Source organism: Homo sapiens, chromosome 20 (assembly GCF_000001405.40).
Source record: "Homo sapiens chromosome 20, GRCh38.p14 Primary Assembly".
Classification (NCBI taxonomy): domain Eukaryota; kingdom Metazoa; phylum Chordata; class Mammalia; order Primates; family Hominidae; genus Homo; species Homo sapiens.
This window is the reverse complement of record NC_000020.11, coordinates 47,704,550-47,726,303: the sequence shown is the minus strand read 5'-3', so window position 1 is coordinate 47,726,303 and position 21,754 is coordinate 47,704,550. Positions and strand designations below refer to the sequence as shown.

The 21,754-nt window shown below is 49.1% G+C and overlaps 1 protein-coding gene across 18 annotated transcripts in view, besides 4 other annotated features; it reads left to right on the top strand.

The window, feature by feature from the left end:
* The window catches only part of SULF2 (sulfatase 2), a 129,222-nt gene that overhangs the window by 60,324 nt on the left and 47,144 nt on the right, over positions 1–21,754 (top strand). The window lies entirely within an intron of this gene.
* Positions 13,820–13,889: an enhancer, noted in NCBI's record as "active region_18006". NCBI's record gives its function as "activates an Ori minimal core promoter by ATAC-STARR-seq in GM12878 lymphoblastoid cells {active_cell/tissue: GM12878}" and the evidence as "EXISTENCE:reporter gene assay evidence [ECO:0000049][PMID:35858748]".
* Positions 14,707–15,207: an enhancer, noted in NCBI's record as "H3K4me1 hESC enhancer chr20:46339841-46340341 (GRCh37/hg19 assembly coordinates)". NCBI's record gives its function as "activates a minimal SCP1, AML or CMV promoter by ChIP-STARR-seq in naive H9 embryonic stem cells {active_cell/tissue: H9 hESC(naive)}" and the evidence as "EXISTENCE:reporter gene assay evidence [ECO:0000049][PMID:30033119]".
* Positions 14,757–14,926: an enhancer, noted in NCBI's record as "experimental_60494 CRE fragment used in MPRA reporter constructs". NCBI's record gives its function as "activates a minimal promoter by MPRAs in K562 erythroleukemia cells, with activity observed for the introgressed 20:46340207 variant allele {active_cell/tissue: K562}" and the evidence as "EXISTENCE:reporter gene assay evidence [ECO:0000049][PMID:34662402]".
* Positions 15,208–15,708: an enhancer, noted in NCBI's record as "H3K4me1 hESC enhancer chr20:46339340-46339840 (GRCh37/hg19 assembly coordinates)". NCBI's record gives its function as "activates a minimal SCP1, AML or CMV promoter by ChIP-STARR-seq in naive H9 embryonic stem cells {active_cell/tissue: H9 hESC(naive)}" and the evidence as "EXISTENCE:reporter gene assay evidence [ECO:0000049][PMID:30033119]".

Below are 21,754 nucleotides of genomic sequence, written 5' to 3'. Positions count from 1 at the left end.
AGCCTAGGAGTTTGAGGCTGCAGTAAGCCATGATCACACCACTGTACTTCGGCCTGGGCAACAGAGTGAGACCTTGTCTCTAAAAAAGAAAGAAGAATAAAGCCTAATCAAACAAAATCTTTTGGGAGTGGGGAGTGACACACAGCACTGAGAAGGGGCAATAAAAACGCAGGGGGTGGTGGCTGTCGAACTTTAGGTGAGTGCTTTCCGTGATTCCTCATCTGTAATCCAATCTCCTCCTCCTCATCCCTGCACTCACTTCCCCTTATGCTCCCAGTACCTTGATCTGTCTTCCCAAACCTTCCTGGGTCTCGGGTCAGGGTCTCAGGACAGGTTCCTGTTCTCCGAGCAGCAGACACCATCCATCCCGGGGCCAGCAGGTTGTGCCAGCCCACACAGCGAGTCCTTTGGGAATCCATCCGTGTCGCAGGGGATTTGAGCAAATGAAGGGAAACCGAGTTCCTACACCGAGGCCGGGAGCGGGGCTTCCTCTGTCATCCCTGTGTGAACCCGTTCTAGCCTGGGGGCTCCAAATGCATAGAGGGCTGGCAGGTAGCCCAAAGCAGAGAGGCAGGCTGGGTGGGGAGGGGGTGCCCAGATTTCAACTGTGGACTGTTCACTCTACTTTTTAAGAATGAGCAACTGAAAACACCGGGCAGGCCCACAGCAAACACACCTGAGGGATGGATTGGTCTGCAGGCCACCGGCTTGCAAACTTCTTTCTAAGCTGGTGGTTCTCAAGGGAGCACACCGCCCCCTAGGGGTTAAACTCTGTGACTGCATTGCCGGTGATGGTGAAGGATTTGACTTTGCTGGCTTCCTGGGGGCGGAGACTAAGAAGGACTTTGATGTCCTGCTCTGCACAGCAGAGTCCACGTGGCCCCCACATTGCATTGTATTCCACATAGCTTCTGAGTTTCCTACCACATCACTCATATGGGTAGATTATTTTATGTTTATTGTCATCTGAGTCTTGAACCTACGTCTATTTTATATGTAAATACTGGAGGGTTTTTGCATATTCCCAGGAATGTACGGAATAAGAAAATGGAGGCAATATTATACTTGAGTGCAAAACTTTCCCAAGAGTCATTCCTTATTTCTGAAAGTCCCATCCCCGATGACAGTGCTACGCCAAAGGATTTGAATGGCAAATGTCGCCCGCCCACCCAGCTGCCCTTGTAATTGTCACATTCCCAGTGAATCTGTGTCTAGGTGCAGGCGTCTGCCTGACTACTGTGTTGTGCCTTCTTGATGGATGTGCTGGGGGAATTTCATATTGAAATTTATCTTCATTATAAATTGCTTTCCTTTTATTTTCCCTGTAGATTGCAGTTAGAGCATTATATTGATTTTGTGGAAATGACATGCATAGGTAGCTTTTGTTACCTATAAATTTCCTTTCAAGAAAACAAGGGCGCTCTACAAAATATTTGTCATAGAAATGGGAGGTCAGTCTGATGGCGCTGAGAACAGCTCTTTGAAAGGTGCAAGTAGTGTCAGATTCCTCCAAGGCGATAATTAAATATCCATTGAGTGACAGGCCTTGTTCTGAGGGTCTGTTGTGGATTTTCTCCCCCTCCTCTAGTCCATCCCTCTGAACAAAACCACACTTTAAAAGGCACAAGACAGATATTTAAGACACAGCTTGTCCTCGTGGTGACTCAGCAGGCAATAAAACCTGTCACTAGAGATGGAGCCCTCCATACCCAGCTAATTGAGTTTCCAGGGAATGAATGGGCCTCATCCTCATTTGCAGGAGCTGCAAGACCCTTCTAGGGAGCGGATGGCTGGAGCCAGCATTTAATTAGGCACAGGCAGCCCGCCCTCCATGCCACCAACACCCAGAGCTCCGCCTGGCCCTGCTACAACCAGTCAGCAGGGCCTTGGTGTCCCCCGCAGCCCAGTCTTCCTCAATAGCCACAGCCTCACTAAAAACAGGCAGGCGGAAGACAGGAATGCATGGAGTGGCAAGACAGAAGCAGCTCTCGCCTCTCGCCCTGGCGATCTGCTTGTCCCTGTTTGTCCCCAGCAACTGGCCATTCCTTCTCCCCACCCACAGCCGGAGGACACTTTTAAAAATTGTAAACCTGACCACATCACTTCCGGCTGAAAACCTCCTACGGCTGCCCACTGCTTTTTGGATAAACTGGCATCTCCTCGCCAGGGCTGCCAAGACCTTGTTTGGCCTGGGTGTGCTCACCTCTCTGTCCACATCTCCTATCTGTCCCTTCCTTGGTGACAGCACTCAGGCTGCCTAGCCTCTTTGTTCCTCAGAACTTCCAAGGTCCATTCCTGCCCCAGGCCCTTTGTATGTGCAGTTACCTCTGTCTGGAGCACTGGCCCACAACCATTCTGGTACAAGCAACCGGTTTCGTGGAAGACAGTTTTTCCACGGACTGGGGGTGAGGGATGTTTTGGGATGATTCAAGCGCATTTCATTTAGTGTGCACTTTATTTCTAATATTATCACATTATAATATGTAATGAAATAATTATACATCTCACTATAATGTAGAATCAGTGGGAGCCCGAGCTTGTTTTCCTGCAACCAGATGGTCTCACCCGGGGGCAATGGGAGACAGTGACAGATCATCAGGCATTAGATTGTCATAAGGAGTGCACAACCTAGATCCCCCGCATGCACAGTTCACAACGGGGTTCACGCTCCTATGATAATCTGCTGCTGATCTGATAGGAGGCAGAGCTCAGGCAGTGATGCAAGTGATGGGAAGCGGCTGTAAATACAGATGAAGTTTGCTCACTCGCCTGCCACTCACCTCCTGCTATGCAGCCCAGTTCCTAACAGGCCACAGACCGCTACCTGTCTACCTGTCTGCAGCCCAGGGGTTGGGGATCCCTGGTCTAGAGCGTTGTTCACACACTGCGGAGAACTTCCTCCATCCATTCTCTCTTCCTTCCTGCCCTTCCTGTGTCGGTTAGTACTCCTCAACCCTCTCATTCTCGACCATGACACCCGGCTTTATGTTCTTCTTAGGACTTCTCGCCCCCTTGAAATTATCTTGCATGTTTGTGAACTTTTTTTTTTTTCTTTTTTTTGAGATGGACTGTCACTCTGCCACCCAGGCTGGAGTACAGTGGCATGATCTTGACTCACTGCAACCTCCAACTCCCAGGTTCAAGCAATTCCCCTGCCTCTGCTTCCCAAGTAGCTGGAACTACAGGCACCCACCACTACACTCAGCTAATTTTCGTTTTTTGTTTTGGTTTTTTTTTGAGACGGAGTCTTGCTCTGTCGCCCAGCCTGGAGTGCTGTGCCACGATCTTGGTTCACTGCAGCCTCCACCTCCCAGGTTCAAGCGATTCTCCTGCCTCAGCCTCCCAAGTAGCTGGCATTACAGTTGCATGCCACCACAACCGGCTAATTTTTTACATTTTTGGTAGAGATGGGGTTTCACCATGTTGGCCAGGCTGGTCTTGAACTCCTGACCTCAAGTGATCCACCTGCCTCAGCCTCCCAAAGTGCTGGGATTACAGGCATGAGCCACCGCACCCAGCCAATTTTTGTACTTTAGTAGAGACAGGGTTTCACCATATTGGCCAGGCTGGTCTCGAACTCCTGACCTCAAGTGATCTGCCTGCCTCGGCCTCCCAAAGTGCTGGGATTACAGGCGTGAGCCACTGCACCTGGCGAGTGAACTTGTTTTTTACATGTTTTGTTTGCTGCCCATCCAAAAATAGCACCAGGCAGGTATTGGGTACTCAGTAAAGATTTGAACAAGGCCAGGCACGGTGGCTCACACGTGTAATCCCAGCACTTCGGGAGGCTGTGGTGGGAGGATCACTTGAGCCCAGGAGTTCAAAACCAGCCTGGGCAACATAGAGAGACCCTGTCTCTACAAATAATTTTAAAAACTGGCCAGGCATAGTGGCACACACCTGTGGTCCCAGCTCTTTGAGAGGCTAAGATGGGAGGATCACTTAAGCCCAGGCCTTTAAGGCCGCAGGGAGCCATGATCGTGCCACTGCATTACAACCTGGGCAAGTGAAACCTCAACTCAAACGAATAAAAAAAATGAACAGATGGAGAACTCTTGGGCCTTAGGCTTGAAGTCAGCAAAAAAATAAAAACAAAATGGAATTTAGATTACTATCTCATTTATCCAGCATGAAGAAACATAATCGAAATTAGTTCAGGCAAACTTTGCCAGGTCCCAGTGCTCAAACGCTGTCAGAACCCTGTCTTTCTGCTTCTTGCGTTTTCTGTCATTGGGTTGGCTTTATTAGGAAGGTTCCCTCTTTGTGATGGCAAGATGGCCCCCACAGGTCCATCTCCCCAGTGTGGTGACCCCAGCTGAAAGAGAGGCCTCTTTCCAAGGGCTCCAGCAAAAGTTCCAGGGAAAGCTCTCATTGGCTCATCTAGGGTCTTATGTCTCTTTCACCCAATCACAGCAGCCAGGCAAAAGGAGATACCCTGATTGTCCAGGCCAACCTCATGGGCCTGGTCCAGGATTCAGAGCTAGAAAGAGCCTCATCAGAACATGTAAGGCTGAGAAAGGGGAAAGATTGGTTCCCTCCCTCTTTGGTGACTGAAGGCACAATTATGAAAAGACAGGAGAATGGATTCTGGGCAGAAAAATAAAACAGATATCCACTATAGAAACCCACATGCAGGCCGGGCGCAGTAGCTCACGCCTGTAATCCCAGCACTTTGGGAGGCTGAGGCGGGTGGATCAGTTGAGGTCAGGAGTTCGAGACCAGCCTGACCAACGTGGTGAAACCCCGTCTCTACTAAAAAAATACAAAATTAGCCAGGCGTGGTAGCGCATGCCTGTAGTCCCAGGTACTGGGGAGGTTGAGGTAGGAGAATCTCTTGAACCCGGGAGGCAGAGGTTGCAGTGAGCCAAGATAATGCCACTGCACTGCAGTCTGGGTAACGAGTGAAATTCTGTCTCATAAAAAAAAAAAAAAATAGCTTCTTCTTAAAGGGCAAGTGGGAGGAGAGCATTTCTCCCAGCCCCCAGCTCGCTCTGCTTCCAACATAAGATGCCTCTTTCGTGCGGAATCATGACCCCACCTTCCTCATTTGTTTTCACACAGCTTTCAGTTCAGCAAGATCCCATCTCTGGCATCCAGAACTTTTATAGCATTGATTTATCACTTCGTGCAGTGATTTGCATTTGGTATTTTTTTTTTCAAAAGCAGAAGAACTCGACTCAGGCTGTAACCTTGCAAAGCAGCACAAAGTTAAAAGGATCCAGTTACAGAATATCAGAAATACCCCAGCCCTGAGAGCTGTGGAGCTCTGGGTTTATTTAATGCATTTCTTGCCAGCCCTGCCTCCTCAGCCAATTTGTCTGCCAAAAAAACAAAGACTTCAGTCCTGTGGCATTTCACATCTAATATTTATGCTGTTCTAGAGTTTGCAAAAGGGCTTCCTTTTCATTTATCACTGTTCCTCAGGAACCTCCAGCTCCCCTGCTAGGTTAATGGGATTGTTCTCTGCTGCCCAGACCGGGAGCCCCAGGAAGCCAAATGACAGATCATGAAAGTGGCCCAGTGGAGGACTCTTCTACTGGTGTCAGGGGTAGGATCAAAACTCAGCCTGAACCAGCTCAGTTTCTATTTTGTGACCCTGGGGGCCAAATATGGATCTTGCAAAATGGCAGCTGGCAGCCTGAGTCTACACTTCAACCCCAAATTTCTGTCAGAGTTACAAGATGCTTTTTAAAATCTGGAAATTTAACCAAAAATACCCAGATTACAAACTTCTCTTTAAAAAAAAAAAAAAAAAGATTATGATAGGCCTGTAATCCCAGCACTTTGGGAGGCCAAGGTGGGTGGATCACTTGAGGCCAGGAGTTCAAGACCAGCCTGGCCAACATGGTGAAACCCTGTCTCTACTAAAAATACAAAAGAATTAGCCGGGCGTGGTGGTGTGCACCTGTACTCCCAACTACTCAGGAGGCTAAGGTGGGAGAATCACTTGAACCAGGAGGCAGTGGTTGCAGTGAGCCAAGATCATGTCACTGCACTCCAGCCTGGGTGGCAAAGTGAGACCCTGTCTCAAAAAAAATAAAATAAAATAAAGGCCAGGTGCAGTGGCTCAAGCCTGTAATTCCAGCACTTTCAGAGGCCAAAGCAGGTGAATCATGAGGTCAGGAGATCGAGACCATCCTGGCTAACACCGTGAAACCCCGTCTCTAATAAAAAATACAAGAACAAAATTAGCCGGTCGTGGTGGCAGGTGCCTGCAGTCCGAGCTACTCGGGAGGCTGAGGTGGGAGAATGGCGTGAACCTGGGAGGTGGAGCTTGCAGTGAGTGCAGTGGCACTCCATCCTGGGCAACAGAGCAAGACTCTGTCTCAAAAAATAAAACAAAAATTTGAAAAAGATAATAATGATAATGATGGTATTGCCATTACTGGTAACATTCCTGCATGGTGGAGATTAGTAAACTGTGGCCTACAGGAGTCTGCTGCCAGGTTTTACAAAGTTTTCTGGAACACAGCCACACCCATTAGTGTATGTACTGTCTGTAGCTGCTTTGGCTCTACGGTGGCAGAATTGAATCATTGCAATAGAGACCTTATGGCTGCATAGCTGAAAACACATAGTCTGGCCCTTTGCAGAAATAGTTTGCTGAGCCCTCCTAAGTGGCGCCAGCCCACTGGATTTGTGCCACAGATACCCCCAGGATTTATTAGAATATAGGTGGAGTTGAGGGTACTTCAGTCCCTAATTAACAGCGGATTAGAGATGATAGGTGCTTATTTCTCTCCCATTTGACAGTTTGGGCATAAACAGCCTAGAGATGATGTGGCAGGCATGGTGTTGGCTCCCAGGCTCCTGATGGGTGATGGTCAGATGGCGTTCCATCATCCTGGGCGATCGTCCTTATCTAAAGCAGCATCCCATCCTGTCTGCATCCAACCAGCAGGACACAGAAACTATAAGGGAAGCTCACTTCCCTTCCTGGAGGGGAGTTTCCAGAAGTCACACACCACCTGGTGTACCCCTCCAGTTCATAGAAAATACAGAGAATTACAAAGGAAGCCAGTTATATGAAAACATATTTATCAAAATATTTTATAAACTGTGATATGTATGCTTCTTTACACATAAAATGGCACGATGAAGCAGTTATTTAATGGACAATGGATAGGTCTGATAACTTCCATGATTTCGAAGTAGCGCTGGCTCAAATGATATTTTAAGAAGTCCATGTTGACTACAATGTGATATGAAAATATCCGTAATTCCCATTGGTGACAAAGTCCCAGGGACCATCATTCATAATTGAAGGGGATGCTAGTTATAGGTTAATGAAAATAAACAAATACATACTTTTGCCATTCAATTTCAGGAAATTATATCTTGGGACAACAGATTAAGAACCTCTTCCTCAGGTGATCTGATTCGATTCCATGGCATTAAGTGCCATCTAAATGCTTACAGCTCCTCAGTTTGTAATTCCGTAGCTTTTCTGTGAACCTGGTCTGTTTCCACCTGAATGTCTAACCTGAGTCTCGAGGTTAATGTGTCTGATTTCTTTATCAACCCCCATCCCCAACTCTGCCCCTCCCAGTGTCCCTTTCCTAAATAAGGGCAAATCTGTCCTCCTCATTGCTTGGACCAAAAACCTTGAGTTATCCTTGACTCTCTTTACTTCTTTCGCATGCCACATCAGCAAATCCCATTGGTTCCACCTTTAAAAATAGCCTGGAACCAACCACCCAAGCCCTTCGCCTGCCACGATTGTGGTCATCACAGTCTGTCTCCTGAATGACTGTGAGAGTCTCCAAACATTCCAGTTCCCTGCCTCGGACTGGCCTTAATTCTAGGACAGAAGCTCCAGGAAGATGCAGGTTTTTTGCTGCTTTAATTTTTTCTGTTTTGTTCACTGGTATCCCCAGTGCCTAGAGCCATCCCAGCCACACAGGAGTCCTCCTTTAATGTTTACTGATTGAATGAATGAATATATAACATCATGATCAATAATATTATGATAAAAACAGTAACCATTTAGAGGCAGTTAACATATTTTCTCATTGAATCTTTCCCAGCAACTTTGTCATGTAGGGATATTATTATTATTCCTATTTTGCAGTTGAGAAAACTGAGCTGGAAGGCAGAGGTAGCTGAACTTAAATGCAAGCTGTTGGCTCCAGAGCCCATGCCCAGCCCTCAGACCTGCCTGCCTCGGAGGATAAAAATCATTTCTGAGGCCAGGCCAGGTGGCTCACGCCTGTAATCCTAGCACTTTGGGAGGCCGAGGCAGGTGGATCACGAGGTCAGGAGATCAAGACCATCCTAACCAACAAGGTGAAATCCCATCTCTACTAAAAATACAAAAAATTAGCTGGGCATGGTGGTGGCGCATGCCTGTAATCCCAGCTACTCGGGAGGCTGAGGCAGGAGAATCGCTTGAACCTGGCAGGCGGAGGTTTGCAGTGAGCCGAGATCGCAGCACTGAACTCCAGCCTGGGTGACAGAGCGAGACTCCATCTCAAAAAAAAAAAAAAAAAATTATCTCTGAAACCCTACACTTCTGGAAAGACTGATCTGGATAACGACTATGGCTCCTACCTGTGTCCCCCACCTATGCTTCAAGAAAGGCAAAGTGCCCGGGTCCTGGGAATGACCTTCCTTCAAAAGCCCACGGCCGGATGAATTCTGGGAGGATGCAGCATGGGAAGATAACCTCAGTGTGGAAATTCCCTTTGCCTGGAATTCTGGCAGAAAGCACTTCGGAGATAGTCTGAGCCACATCGGAGAGGAGGAGCTCTCGGAGGCTGAGTCCCATTTGTGTGTGTCCCCACCTTTAGCCATGGGGCAGTCCCTCTGCTGTTCCCTCTTCCCTGCCTCTCTGCGTCCCCGTGGATGGGAAGAGCTCCAGTCTGTGGTCGCTGGAGTCCTGCTGAGAGGCTGAACAGGGTAGTCACCAAAAGGCAGGTGGAGACAGACAACCTGGGATTGAGCCTCATTTCAGCTCTGACACTTGGCAGTTGTGGGATGTTCGGTGAAAAGGGGACTTTGCCTCTCTGTGCCTCAGTTTCTCCATCTGTAAAATAGGGACCAAAAAAAGGATCTACCTCACTGGGATGTTGTAGGTCATCGTCTAAACCAGTGGCTCTCAAAGCGTGGTCCCAGGATCTCTAGACTCAAAACTATTTTCATGATAATACCAGGACACTGTTTACCTTTTTACCGTCATTTTCCTTCTGGTAGACAGTGGAGTTTTCTAGCAGGTACATAGCATATCTAGTTATCTAAAAAGGATTAAAATACTCTTCCCTTTTCCATCTGCATACCCATTTTATTTTATTTTTTAGAAATAGGGTCTCGCTTGTCACCCAGGCTGAAGTGCAGTGGCACAATCACAGCTCATTGCAGCCTCGAACTCCTGGGTCCAAGTGATCCTGCCACCTCAGCCTCTCGAGTAGCTGGGAATACAGGCACACACCACCACGACTGGCTATATTTATATATATTTATTTTTTAGTTTTTGTAGAGATGAGGTCTCACTTTGTCACGCAGGCTGGTCTCAAACTTTTTGCTTCAAGCAATCCTCCTGCCTTGGCCTCCCGAAGTGCTGGGATTACAGACGTGAGCCACTGTCCCTGGCCTGCATGTCTGTGTGAGGCTGGATTTTTCATGTTAAACAACCAAAACAATATATCTCAGCAGATTGAATGCCAAAACAGATTTAAGAATCCTGCTGCCTTCCAGTAAACAAGACATTGAAGAGATTGGCAAAAATGTAAAACAATGCAACTCTTCTCATTAATTGTATTTTGTTTGGGAAAAATATAGTTATTTATCTTTTTTTCTCCCCAAGACAGAGTCTTGCTCTGTCACTCAGGCTGGAGTGCAGTGGTGCAATCTCAGCTTACTGCAACCTCCACCTCCTGGGTTCAAGCAGTTCTCCTGCCTCAGCCTCCCAAGTAGCTGGGATTACAGGCGCCCGCCACCACACCCGGCTAATTTTTGTATTTTTAGTAGAGACAGGGTTTCACCACATTGGCCAGGCTGGTCCTGAACTCCTGACCACATAAGTCATCACGCCCAGCCTCTATTTATCATTTTTTAAATGTATGCTAACAAGTAGTGAGTTTATTATTTAAATGAGTGAACAAATATGTTTTAAATTTCTCAGTTTTCATCTCTAATATAATAACTATCACTAGATATAACCAACATACACAGGACTCTGGGTTCCTTAATAAATTTTGACCATATTGAAAAGCACTGCTGTTGCCTTACACTGACCTTGAGTGCTTTTTTGGTTTTATAAAGCACATCCACAAATGGAAGTCATGTCCCGTGTGGGCCAAATAGATCCAAGTTCAGCCAGCCAAACACCATACAAGCAAATAGGAAGACAAGAATTTAACAATTCTACCCACTCCTCCACTCACAGAGGGTGTGCACCGGATGATAAAAAAACAAATCTACGTTCTCAGCCAGGCGCAGTGGCTCACGCCTGTAATCCCAGCACTTTGGGAGGCCAAGGCGGGTGGATCACTTGAGGTCAGCTCAAGACCAGCCTGGCCAACATGGTGAAACCCTGTCTCTACTAACAATACAAAAATTAGCCAGGCATGGTGGCGAACACCTGTAATCCCAGCCAGTCGGGAGGCTGAGGCAAGAGAATCACTGGAACCCGGGAGGCAGAGGTTGCAGTGAGCCGAGATCGTGCCATTGCGCCCCAGCCTGGGTGACAGTGTGGGACTCCATCTCAAAAAAAAAAAAAAAAATCGACATTCCCTCACTCAGCTGTGTCTCCCACAGGCCTCCCATTACGAGGTGTTCGTTGGTTCAGTTGTTTACCCATTTATTCCACAAACGTTCATCGAGGTCTCGTCACTGACCAAGCTCTGTTCTAGATGTGAGGACACAGGGGACAAGGGACTCAGAAAGCCGCTGCCCTCATGGGGCTGGTACTCTGGTGGGAGAAGCACGTGATAAAAACTAGAAGACAGATAAATATGACCAGTGAATAAATATGTGGAGAAGCAATGTCGGGGGAAAGGGGAGAGCCTGGGCGGTGTGGGGAGATGCCATTTGAATAGGAGGGTTAGGATTGAGCCCCAGTAAGTTAACATTTGAGGCTGGACATGGTGACTCACACCTGTAATCCCAGAACTGAGAGAGGCCAAGGTGGGCAGATCGCTTGAGCCCAGGCATTGAGACCAGCCTGGGCAACATAATGAAACCCTGTCTCTACAAAAAAAAAAAAAAAAAAATACAAAAGTTATCTGGGCATGGTGGCTTGTGCCTGTGGTCCCAGCTACTTGGAAGGCTGAGGTGGGAGGATAGCTTGAGCCTGGGGAGGTTGAGGGTACAGTGAGCCACGACCGCACCACTGCACTCCAGCCTGGGTGACAGAGTGCGACCCTGTATTGGAAAAAAATTAAAAGCTTTGAGCAAATAGCTGGGAAAGGTGAGGAAGCAGCCCATGCAGGTATCTGAGGAAGGTGATTTCTTTCAGGTAACAGCAAGGGCAAAGGCCCTGGGGCAGGTATGAGCTTTGGGGTTGGGGTGCTGGTAGGATAGAGGGAGACCCCAGGACAGGAGGCTGGGGGGAAAGTGGGGGCAGATGCAGTCACGGAGCAGGACAGGAGACAGTTATAGGACTTTGTAGGGCATGGCAAGGACTTTGGATTTTAGTTGAGGTGGATGTGGAGCCACTGAAGGGCTTTGCACAGAGTGGGGGGCTTGATCAAATTTGTGATTTAATGGGATCCTTCTGGCTGCTGTGGAAGATGGGCTGAAGGTGGAGGCAGGAGGACCAGGGACGAGGTTCCAGCAAGGTCCAGGCAGAGGCAGTGGTGGCTTGGACCAAGATGGTGACAGGCGGATGATGGGAAGTGGTCAGACCTGGATGTGTCCTGAGGGTGAAGCTGCTGGGACATATGTGAGGGAGGACAGAGGAGCTGAAGTCCCCTCCATGGTGCGTAGCCTTGACCCACTGGCATTGACGGATGTATGGATCACAGGGCGAAAATCAAGAGGCCGGTGTGAAGTGCTGATTTGACACCAAATGAAGTGATTTGAAGGAAATTACTAAGTATGCAGCGGTCCAAATGATACATAAAAACGGCCAAACGTGTGTGAGAGGCACGCGGACAACTGGAATTGAGATGATGCCACGAAGGGCAAAGACCCCGTTTTGTTTTCGCAGACTCCGTGCCTGCGAAATGGCGCGGGTCTGTTTTGGGAAGGACGGACTTTCCACAGGCTTCTGCTTCATCTTTCGCCGACCTCTCTGAATTGCTTTGGCAAACACTGTTTATTGTCATTGGCTCGGCTCCGCGCTCCAGCCCATCTCTGCTGATAGATGTGTGTCATGCTCAGCCGACTTCACTGTGCGGCATGAACACTCCTCCCCAAGCTCATTACTGGAGTCTCGGAGGGGCCTTGCCATTTTCCAAAACGGTGTCACATCTGGTTTCTAACAACCATTTTTATTTCTCCAGAGGTCCAAGTTTTCATCCCCCTCCCTGAAAACGGAAAGCAGACTGTATTTTGGGAACTCACAGTTCTTTTTTGTTTCTGTTTTTTTGTTTTTTATTATTTTTTTTTTTTCAGAGACAGAATCTCACTCCGTTGCCCAGGCTGGAGTGCAGTGGCACAATCATGGCTCACTGCAGACCTAAACTCCTGGGCTCAAGTGATCCTCCTACTTTGGCCTCCCAAAGTGCTTGGATTACAGGCATGAGCCACCACGCCTGGCCCTTTTTCAGAGTTCTTTATGCACAATCTCATTTGTTGCTGCCCCCATTTTTATAGAAGAATTCACTGAGGCTCAGACAGGAGCACTCGCTTGCCCAAGGAGTCAGAGTCCTCTGACTCTGCAAACCAAGCTCTTTAAAGCCACACTGCAACCCTGTCGTTAATGGTACATTTGGACAACTTTTTAAACTGTGCACTTTACACAGAGTTTCACAACCTCGGCACTGGTGACACTTTGGGGCTGGATCATTCTTTACGGGGGGAGGAGGGCCATCCCATGCACTGGAAGATGGTCAGCAGCATCCCTGGCCTCTGCCCGATAGATGCCTGTAGCACATTCCCCCACCCCGCCAGGTCATAGCAGTGAAAAATGTCTCCACACACTGCCCAGTGTCCCCTGCAGGGCAAAATCACCCCTGGTTCAGTGTATTCTGCACACAGATGTGCTTCAGGTTGGCAGCCCTGCCTGCTCCGTTGACCCATTTTTTTCAGCATGTAGCACTGTGCTGCAGACACTATAATAGAAATCCCTTCCTTTCTTTTTCTCCCCCCACCCCTGCCCCCCAGACAGGGTCTGGCTCTGTTACCCAGGCTGGAGTGCAGTGGCAGGATCTTGGTCCACTGCAGCCTCCGCCTCCACTTCCTGGGCTCAAGCGATTCTCCCACCCCAGCCTCCCAAGTAGCTGGAACGACAGGCGTGCAGCACCACACCTGGCTAATTTTTTGGTTTTTTGGTAGAGACAGGGCTTCTCCGTGTTGCCCAGGCTGGCCTCAAACTCCTGAGCTCAAGCAATCTGCCCATCTTGGCCTCCCAAAGTGCTGGGATTACAGGCGTGAGCCACCACACCAGGCCTAGAATCCCTTTCAGTAAGACATGCAGTTGCCACCTCTCCTGCACTCCTGGGCGAGGGGTGTGACGCTTAACATTAGAGGGCGCTGCCCCACCTTGCACAGCTGTGTACCTCAATCAGGTGCACCTACCCAGCCCTCCTGTCGGCCACTGCTCACCGTGTGCACACTCTGGGCCAGGTACTGCGCTGGGGCTACAGTGCAGCACGGCTCCTGCCTTACGGACCCCACACCCTAGTTGGGGAAATGAGGATAAACAAGAAAACAAATGCATCTATAGGATAATTTCAGAGAGTGCAGAGTGCTGTAGAGGAAATAAACAGCCCGGTGACTATAGAGGGATGGGTGACCAGGGACAACTTCTCATCTGACCTGAGGTGCCACGGTGAGGAGGAGGCAGGCGTCCCAGGCAGAAGGAAGAGCAGGTGCCAATGCTCGGTGGGGTAGAGAGCTTGGCTCCTAGGGAGCGTGAGACCTAGAGAAGTTGAAACAGAGTGAGCTCAGCAGTGCGTCCCTGAAGGGAGACGGCCTGATGGCTCTTGGACTCAGAAGGGCCCTCTGGCCATTTGGGGAAGTCTGGGCTCTGGGAAGGCTGCGGAGGCAGAAGTCCAGTTGGAAGTTGGCTGTGAGAAGGAAACAGGTGAAGAAGCAAGATGCATTTCTGTCTTTTTTGGGATTTTATATCCTGTGTATATGTGTATGTTGTGTATTCGTGTATGTGTGTATATGTGCTTTTACTGTATTTTCCTGCATCGTGTATATGTACATATGTACCTGTATATTCATGCATTGTGTATATGTGAATGTTGTATATCTATGCATGTGCGTATGTGTGCCATATATTAATGCATATGTGTATTTTTATATGTCATGTATTCACTCGTGTGTATATGTGTGTTGTATATTCATGTATGTATATGTAGTGTATTTGTGCTTGTGTATATGTATTCATGCATGTGTGTATATGTATGTGTTGTATATTTATGCAGGTGCGTAGATGTGTTTGTGTGCTGGTTCCAAAATATGAGGACAAATTGCCAAATCAAAGTGAATAAATATTTAATGAAATGGTGTTGCATGATTCAGCGAGTCAGCTCTGGAACATTTGGACTCTTAGAGAGCTGTTTGTCGATTACCTTTAATGTAGTGTGTGGGTGGAAATGGTGTGGGATGAACATGTACCGAAAGTTGCTGATGTCCTTAAAGAAGCCCTGTTGGTATTTCCAGCCAGATGGCCCGTCGTGGGGGAGAGAAAGTCCTCCGAAAGCAGCGGGTGCTTTCTGTCCTGCTGGCTGCCTCTTGGGAGGCCCCTAGGACAGATCAGGTCCTGTTTCACCCTTCGCATGCCTGTCAGTTCATCCACGTGCATAGCAGTGGGTGGGGGTGCACTGTCGTTTCATTGCCAACAACCACAGGGGACAAAGTCCTTTGTGGTCCCACAGCTAGGAGGTGGCAGATCCAGGATTCAAACCCAGACAGTCTGACTGCAGAGACGCTTTGGGCACTCTGCCACATTACCACCTGTGTTACTGGGAAAAGGGAGAACTGATGCTGGGAGGAACAGCGTGTTCCTACGCCGGCCCGGCATGGCGGGGACATGTCTGCAGCAGGGAGAGGTGGCCGAGGTTCCCAGTGGTTTCTGGTTGCAGGAGCCCTCTGTCTCCCCCATTGTCCGTGGCTTGCTTAGTATCCCCAGTGATGCCGTGTGTGCCCCTGTGCCAGGTTTTTCACCAGCTAATCTCAGTCCCTGGTCGCCACGAGACACAGCTTTCACAGACCACAAATGCAATTATTACAAGGCAATTTCAGTTAGATTTGGGGCTGGGAGAGAAAACAGAAGGGTCTCCTCCTCCCATCAGGCTCCGAATCGTTCCCCAGGAGCACTTAACTCAGACAAATGGGGAAGCAGCCGCGTGGAGCCTCCACCGTAGAGCTGCCTGCAGGGGAAGTGGCCGACCTGCTGGGCCACGAAGCAGGGTGCAGGAAGGATATGGGGAGCTAGTGATCCTCTCCAAGGGGGCAGGGGGACTCCATTAAACCAGATGTTAACAGCAAGAAGTTGGCTATAACAGGGGACGGGCCCATTGGTGGATAATGAAAATATAACCCTTAGTAGGCACTTGCTATGTGCCAGTTCCAAGCAATGTACAGTCGTGTGTCACGTAACAATGGGGATACATGCTGAGAAACGTGTCGTTAGGTGATTCTGTCATTGTGCGAACATCATGGAGTGCATTACACGCCTGGATGGCATAGCCTACTACACACCTAGGCTCTGTGGCGTGACCTATTACTCCTAGGCTACAAACCCCCCTACAGCATGTGACCATACTGAATCCTGTAGGCGGTGGTAACACAATGGGAAGTATTTGTGTATCTAAACATACGTGAACATGTTAATAGAGTACAGTAAAAATATGGTGGGCATGGTGGCTCATGCGTGTATTCCCAGCACCTTGGGAGGCCAAGGCGGGAGGATCACTTGAGCCCAGGAGTTCCAGACCAGCGTGAGCAACATAGTGACACCCCATCTCTACTAAAAATTAAAACATTAGGCTGGGCACGGTGGCTCACGCCTGTAATTCTGGCACTTTGGGAGGCTGAGGCGGGCAGATCACCTCAGGTCAGGAGTTCAAGGCCAGCCTGGCCAACATGGTGAAACCTGGTCTCTACTAAAAATTAAAAAATTAGCTGGGCGTGGTGTTGGACACCTGTAGTCCCAGCTACTCGAGAGGCTGAGGCGGGAGAATCGCTTGAACTCAGGAGGCAGAGGTTGCAGTGAGCTGAGATCATGCCACTGCACTCCAGCCTGGGAGACAGAGTGAGACTCCATCTCAAAAAAAAAAAAAAAAAGTGGTTTCAGGTAAGAGTGGATCCCCAGGGCCTCAAACCAGCATCTCTCTATCTCTCTATCTCTTGTATCTCTCTATCTCTTCTGTCTCTCTGTCTCTATCTTTCCCACCTCCGCATTTTTCCATATTGCTTTACACACACACACACAGACTCTTCCCTCTTGGTGGCAAGATGGCTGCCAGCAGCTTCAGTTATGTATCCCACCAGTTCCAAGCCTTGAGGAAGAAGACCTTCTCTTTTCTAGTAGCTCCCTAAAAATCCCAGGGCTGACTCGCTGCAGTTGGCCCAGCTTGGGTCACATGCCTTTGCCTCAACTAACCAGTTTGTGCATGATCACCAGGGGAATGCGGTCCTCATGGGAGTCAAGGATTTGCACACATTCCTGGAGTCAACAGTCAAGGTCAGCCCGTGCAACTTAAATAAGGAAGTGTTGGTGCCCAAAGGATGACAGAGCCAGGCAGGTGAAGCTTCCACCTAGTGCTGGGCACACAGGAGGCAGTAAGTGCTCTGGCCTTTCAGCAGATGCCAGCCCTGCTGCCCAGGGGCAGTCGCCAGCCAGCTCATTGTCAATGGCCTTTCCTGGCCTGCCATTAATTCCTCTTAATCTGCCTGCCAAATTTTCCCACCCCCACGCCAGCCCCCAGCTTGCCCCTCCTCTTGTGCTGTCCTTGCCTCGAAAGCTCAGCGAATCCAAGCTTCCCAGGCACCAGCCACCTGCCACAATTTGGGCTGGGCTTTTAATCTTGGTTTTAATTCCAGCTCATTCTCTTGGCTGTATCTCCCAGCCCAGGAGCCCCGGGGCCCATGCTAATTTGCTTCTCCCACCTCCACTGGTGCCGGAATAACCATTTTTAAAAGTGCCTTGGGGAAATATAATCAAATGAGAGCAAAATCTAATTTGGCACTAAAAGCCTCTGACTGAAGCCCTGTTTTCTAGGGCCTGGTGGAGACTGAATAATACACCCTTTTTGGGTTTTTAAGGGTTGGGGGTTGGAGAAAGGAAAGAGACGTGAAAGGGGAGATGCTAGCAGAGGAAACAGCTTGCATTAAGCTGACATCCGTGGCACTGAAAAGAATGGGCAGGAGGAGGACCCCCACCCACTCCCTATGAAGAAATTCATATCCCAGCAGCCAAGCCAAGAAGCTAAACTCCAGCATTCATCAGAAAGACCTTGGCCCAAGTCTTCAAGAACCAGTAGGTTCACTGGCTGGAGATTTGGAAGATGTGGGAGTGTAGCGGGAAACCCAGTTCCCCAGTGGGGAGTTCAGTGAAGCCTTTTTCTCTGACTTTCAGTTCACTTTTCTGCAAACTGAGGGGGTGAAAATCTGTGCTTCTTAAATGACTTGTGATCTGGGCTCCTTTCAGAATGTGTCAAAAGCTGTGGACTTGTTTCCAGGAAAATGCACAAAAGGCAAAATCTGGCATGCAATGTTCCAGGAGCGGTACGAACCCTGCCACTCCTCATGACAGTCTCCAGGACCCTATGGGATCTGTCCCCTCTTCCCCGTGATGTCATTTCCTCCCTCCCTCACTGTCCCCCTTGGGTTCTGCGATGCCCCCACGTTTGTACTGGCTTCAGGGACTTTGTACCTGCCAATTCCCTCTGCCTGGAACAGTTTTCCTCCTATCCCCTCTGACTCTTGCTCTTCAGCCCAGCGAGGCCTCTCACAGCACTGCGTGGGGCCACTCTGTCCTATCATTCTCCTTTATTTTCTTCATCGCATTTGTCATCATTCCCCACTAGAACATCAACTGCACGAGGGCAGAAGGGATCCTGGTGGTCTTGTTCACTCCTGTGATTCCAGTGCCTGGGAAGCTCCCTGCATACCGTAGGTGTTTAATCAACACTTGCCGAATGGATACAGGCATGCATACCTTCCCTAGGGCAGTGGGACCCCAAATTCAGCAATTTCGAGTGCCACCATCATGAGGTGTACCATGCCCAGGTACACTGATTCTGTTAACATTTTACCCTAGATTGTTTCACTCTGGACTTCAGTTGTTTCAAAAGGAATCTTTTACATCACTGACAGTATTGTTTGCCACGAGTAGAAAGTGTCGGGGCTCTGTAGGGGTGTAACAAAAACGCAGGTAATAAGAGCGAGATCTGGTATAAAGAAAGTGATTTTTTATTCCAAAGCTAGCTTAGGGGAAGAAGTACAGTCTTCCTGCCTTAAGGGTACTGCTTTGCTTTTAGGAGCAGAAAGGAGTTGCTTTTTAAAAGGGGGCCTGGCATGAATGGCACACAGGGGAGGAATTGAGTGCTGGGGGGGTCCGCATATCTCACTCGAGTACTTCATCTACCGGGAAGTCAGCTGGCAGCCACTGGTGCCTTTGTGGGTGGAACTAGGTTGTAAGGGTGGCCAGAAGCTCTCCACCTGGGAGGGAGTTTCGCAGCAGGCATACTTTGGGTTGTAGTGGACCATTGTCTCTCGAGGCAACCTCCCAGTGAGTGAGAGTTCCGCTCCAGAGCCTCTAAGCACGTGATTAGATGAACTTGCCCTGAAGAGAGTGTCTGGTGTAGGGGAGATAAAAGGTTATAATTGCATTTCTAAAGGGCGAAGTGGGGCACGGGGAAAATGGAGAAAAAAGAAGAATAAAAAATAATAAAACTGCCGGACAGGGTGGCTCACACCTGTAATCCCAGCACTTTGGGAGGCTGAGATGGGTGGATCACCTGAGGTCAGGAGTTAAAGACCACCTTGGCCAACATGGTGAAACCCTATCTCTACTAAAAATACAAAAATTAGCCAGGTGTGGTGGCCATGCCTGTAATCCCAGCTACTCAGGAGGCTGAGGCACAAGAATTACTTGAACCTGGGAGGCAGAGGTTGCAGTGAGCTGAGATTACACCACTGCCCTCCAGACTGGGTGACAAGAGCAAGACTCCATCTCAAAAAATAATAATAATAATAATAAAACTCATCTTTTTCTTAGAAAAAATGGGAATACCGATTTATGTGGGGGCTTATTAAATTTTACCCTCTTCCTTGTTGAGGTCCTGAGCCGATTAAGAAATCAGACCCAAGAGTCAGCTGATGAAAGTCAACACTGCACTCTGATGAATCTGGTGAAGGCTGGGTTTGAGGGCATGGCTTCCTTCTGAGAGCATTTGGGCTTCCTGACTAAACTCCAGAGTGTGACAGACTTCCCACTGATGCAGGTCCACACCTCTCCTCCCCGCGCAGACAGGACAAGCCTCCTGAAAACTAGCCCTCCCCGGGGGCAGCTCAGTCCCCAGAGGAAAAGCAAGGGAAGGGATTGGGCTATGCATGCCCACTTCGGCCCTTCAAATCCACTAGGCACATGCTAGGGGTCAGCAAACCACAGCCAATGGACCTAACCAGGCCCTCCATTTGTTTTAGTAAATAAAGTTTTATTGGAACATACCCGCCCACTTGTTTATGTCTTGTCTGTGACTTCTTTTTTTTCTTTCTAACAATAGGGTTTAGCAGTTGTCACAGAGACCCTTTGACCCTCTGGCCCACAAAGCCTAAAATACTGACTATCTGGCTTTTACAGGAAAGGTTTGGTGACCTCTGCTGTATATTGTCCCCCTCGGAGGAGGTACGGGAGAGCATGGAGAGAGGCCAGGAGTGTTACAGAAGTGGAGCCCCCCCGCATGGAGGGCAGCGTTAGAGGTGGGGGTCAAGGTCACAAGGTTTAGGAAATCTTGTTTCCTGAACTACACTTGGTCTCCAGGGGCCTTCCTGGCTCTCACAATATGGCTCCAAAGACCTGAGGGGTGAGATGCTGGAGGGTTGGACCATAGGCAGGTTTATTTAAATAAGATAGGGTTTCTCAGCGACGTATGGTGGCTCACATCTGTAGTCCCAGAACTTTGGGAGGCCGAGGCAGGTGGATCACTTGAGGTCAGGAGTTCGAGACCAGCCTGGCCAACATGATGAAACCTCATCTCTACTAAAAATACAAAAATTAGCCGGGCATCATGGTGCACGCTTGTAGTCCCAGCTACTCGGGATGCTGAGGCAGGAGAATCCCTTGGACCCAGGAGGCAAAGGTTGCTGTGAGGCGACATCACGCCATTGCACTCCAGCCTGGAAAACAGCGAGACCCTCTCTCAAAAAAAAAAAAAAGAAAAGAAAAGAAAAGGTTTCTTGGATTAGGCGCTGCTGACATTTTGTCCTGGCTCAGTCTTTGTAGCGTGGGGGCTGTCACGTGCGTCGGCGAATATTGAGCAGCATCCTTGGCCTCCACCCACCAGATATCAACAGCACACCAAGTTGTGATGAAACCAAAAATGTCTCCAGACATTGCCAAGTGTCTCCTGGGGACAGAAATTACCCCCTTTCTGGCCAAGAGCCACTGCTTTGAGGAGCTGGATGCATTGAGGCATCTCCAACATTCCAGGTCCCAGAGAAAGAGAAGTGCAGGCCTTTAGCTTGCCCGGGAATCTCATGCTGCCTCCACTCCATCAGTTACTCCCTGACACCTAGCCAGGGACGCCCAGTCGCTGTTTAATTAGGCACCCACCACCTAATTACATTTCACTCTGTGAAAACTGGATATGACTCAGACTCAGAGACTGCAGCCGGTTCCCCGCCTCCTCCTCTGCAGAACGCCAGGTTCTTCCCGTTTATTTTTGCTCCATCCTCCCACACAAAGGGAGGTTCCATCCCGGACCTTACCCCTGAGGCTGCTGGGGGATCCTCCCTTCCTATTTTCACCTCCCCTGTGTACCCAGACCCTTACAGGAGGTGTTTCATCAGCTCCTCCCTCTGGAGCGGTCACCTCCCGGCCCTGCATGATGGGCAAGTCATTTAATGAAGTGCTCCCCTTTGCCTTGTATTTTGGGGGTTTCAGAATCCAGCCGCTTGGGTTCCTAAGGGGTTTTCCCACTCCTGGAAAGTGTCAGCCATCTGCCAGGTCACCAGGAAAACCGCTGCAGAGGGAGCCAGCTCCATCACAGCTCCCCCAGGGCCAGGTGGCTCTGTGCTTTCTCCAAGGACACTGGTGGATAGGTTGTCCTCTCCTCTAGGGGCACCAGAGCCCCATCCCACCCACTCTCCTCCTTCCTCTGGGGGTTCACCTCCCTGGCCTTTCTCTCTTCATCCTGGCTTCTCGGCCAAGCACTCACGTGCACAAGGCCCAGCGCTGAGCTGTCTGTTAGCAAGATCTCCTTACATCCCTACAACCTCCTGGAACGCTCATATTCTGTGCTCTCAGCAATACTCGTCAGAAATTTCAGAACCGCAGTGTCCTCATCTAGAAAGAGACGACTAGAATAGGATTGCTGTCTCTAGACTCAAATTTTCCCATTTCTTAAATATGGCTTTATAGATTATAATTATTAAAAATTATACATGCAAGCCAGACACGGTGGCTCTCGCC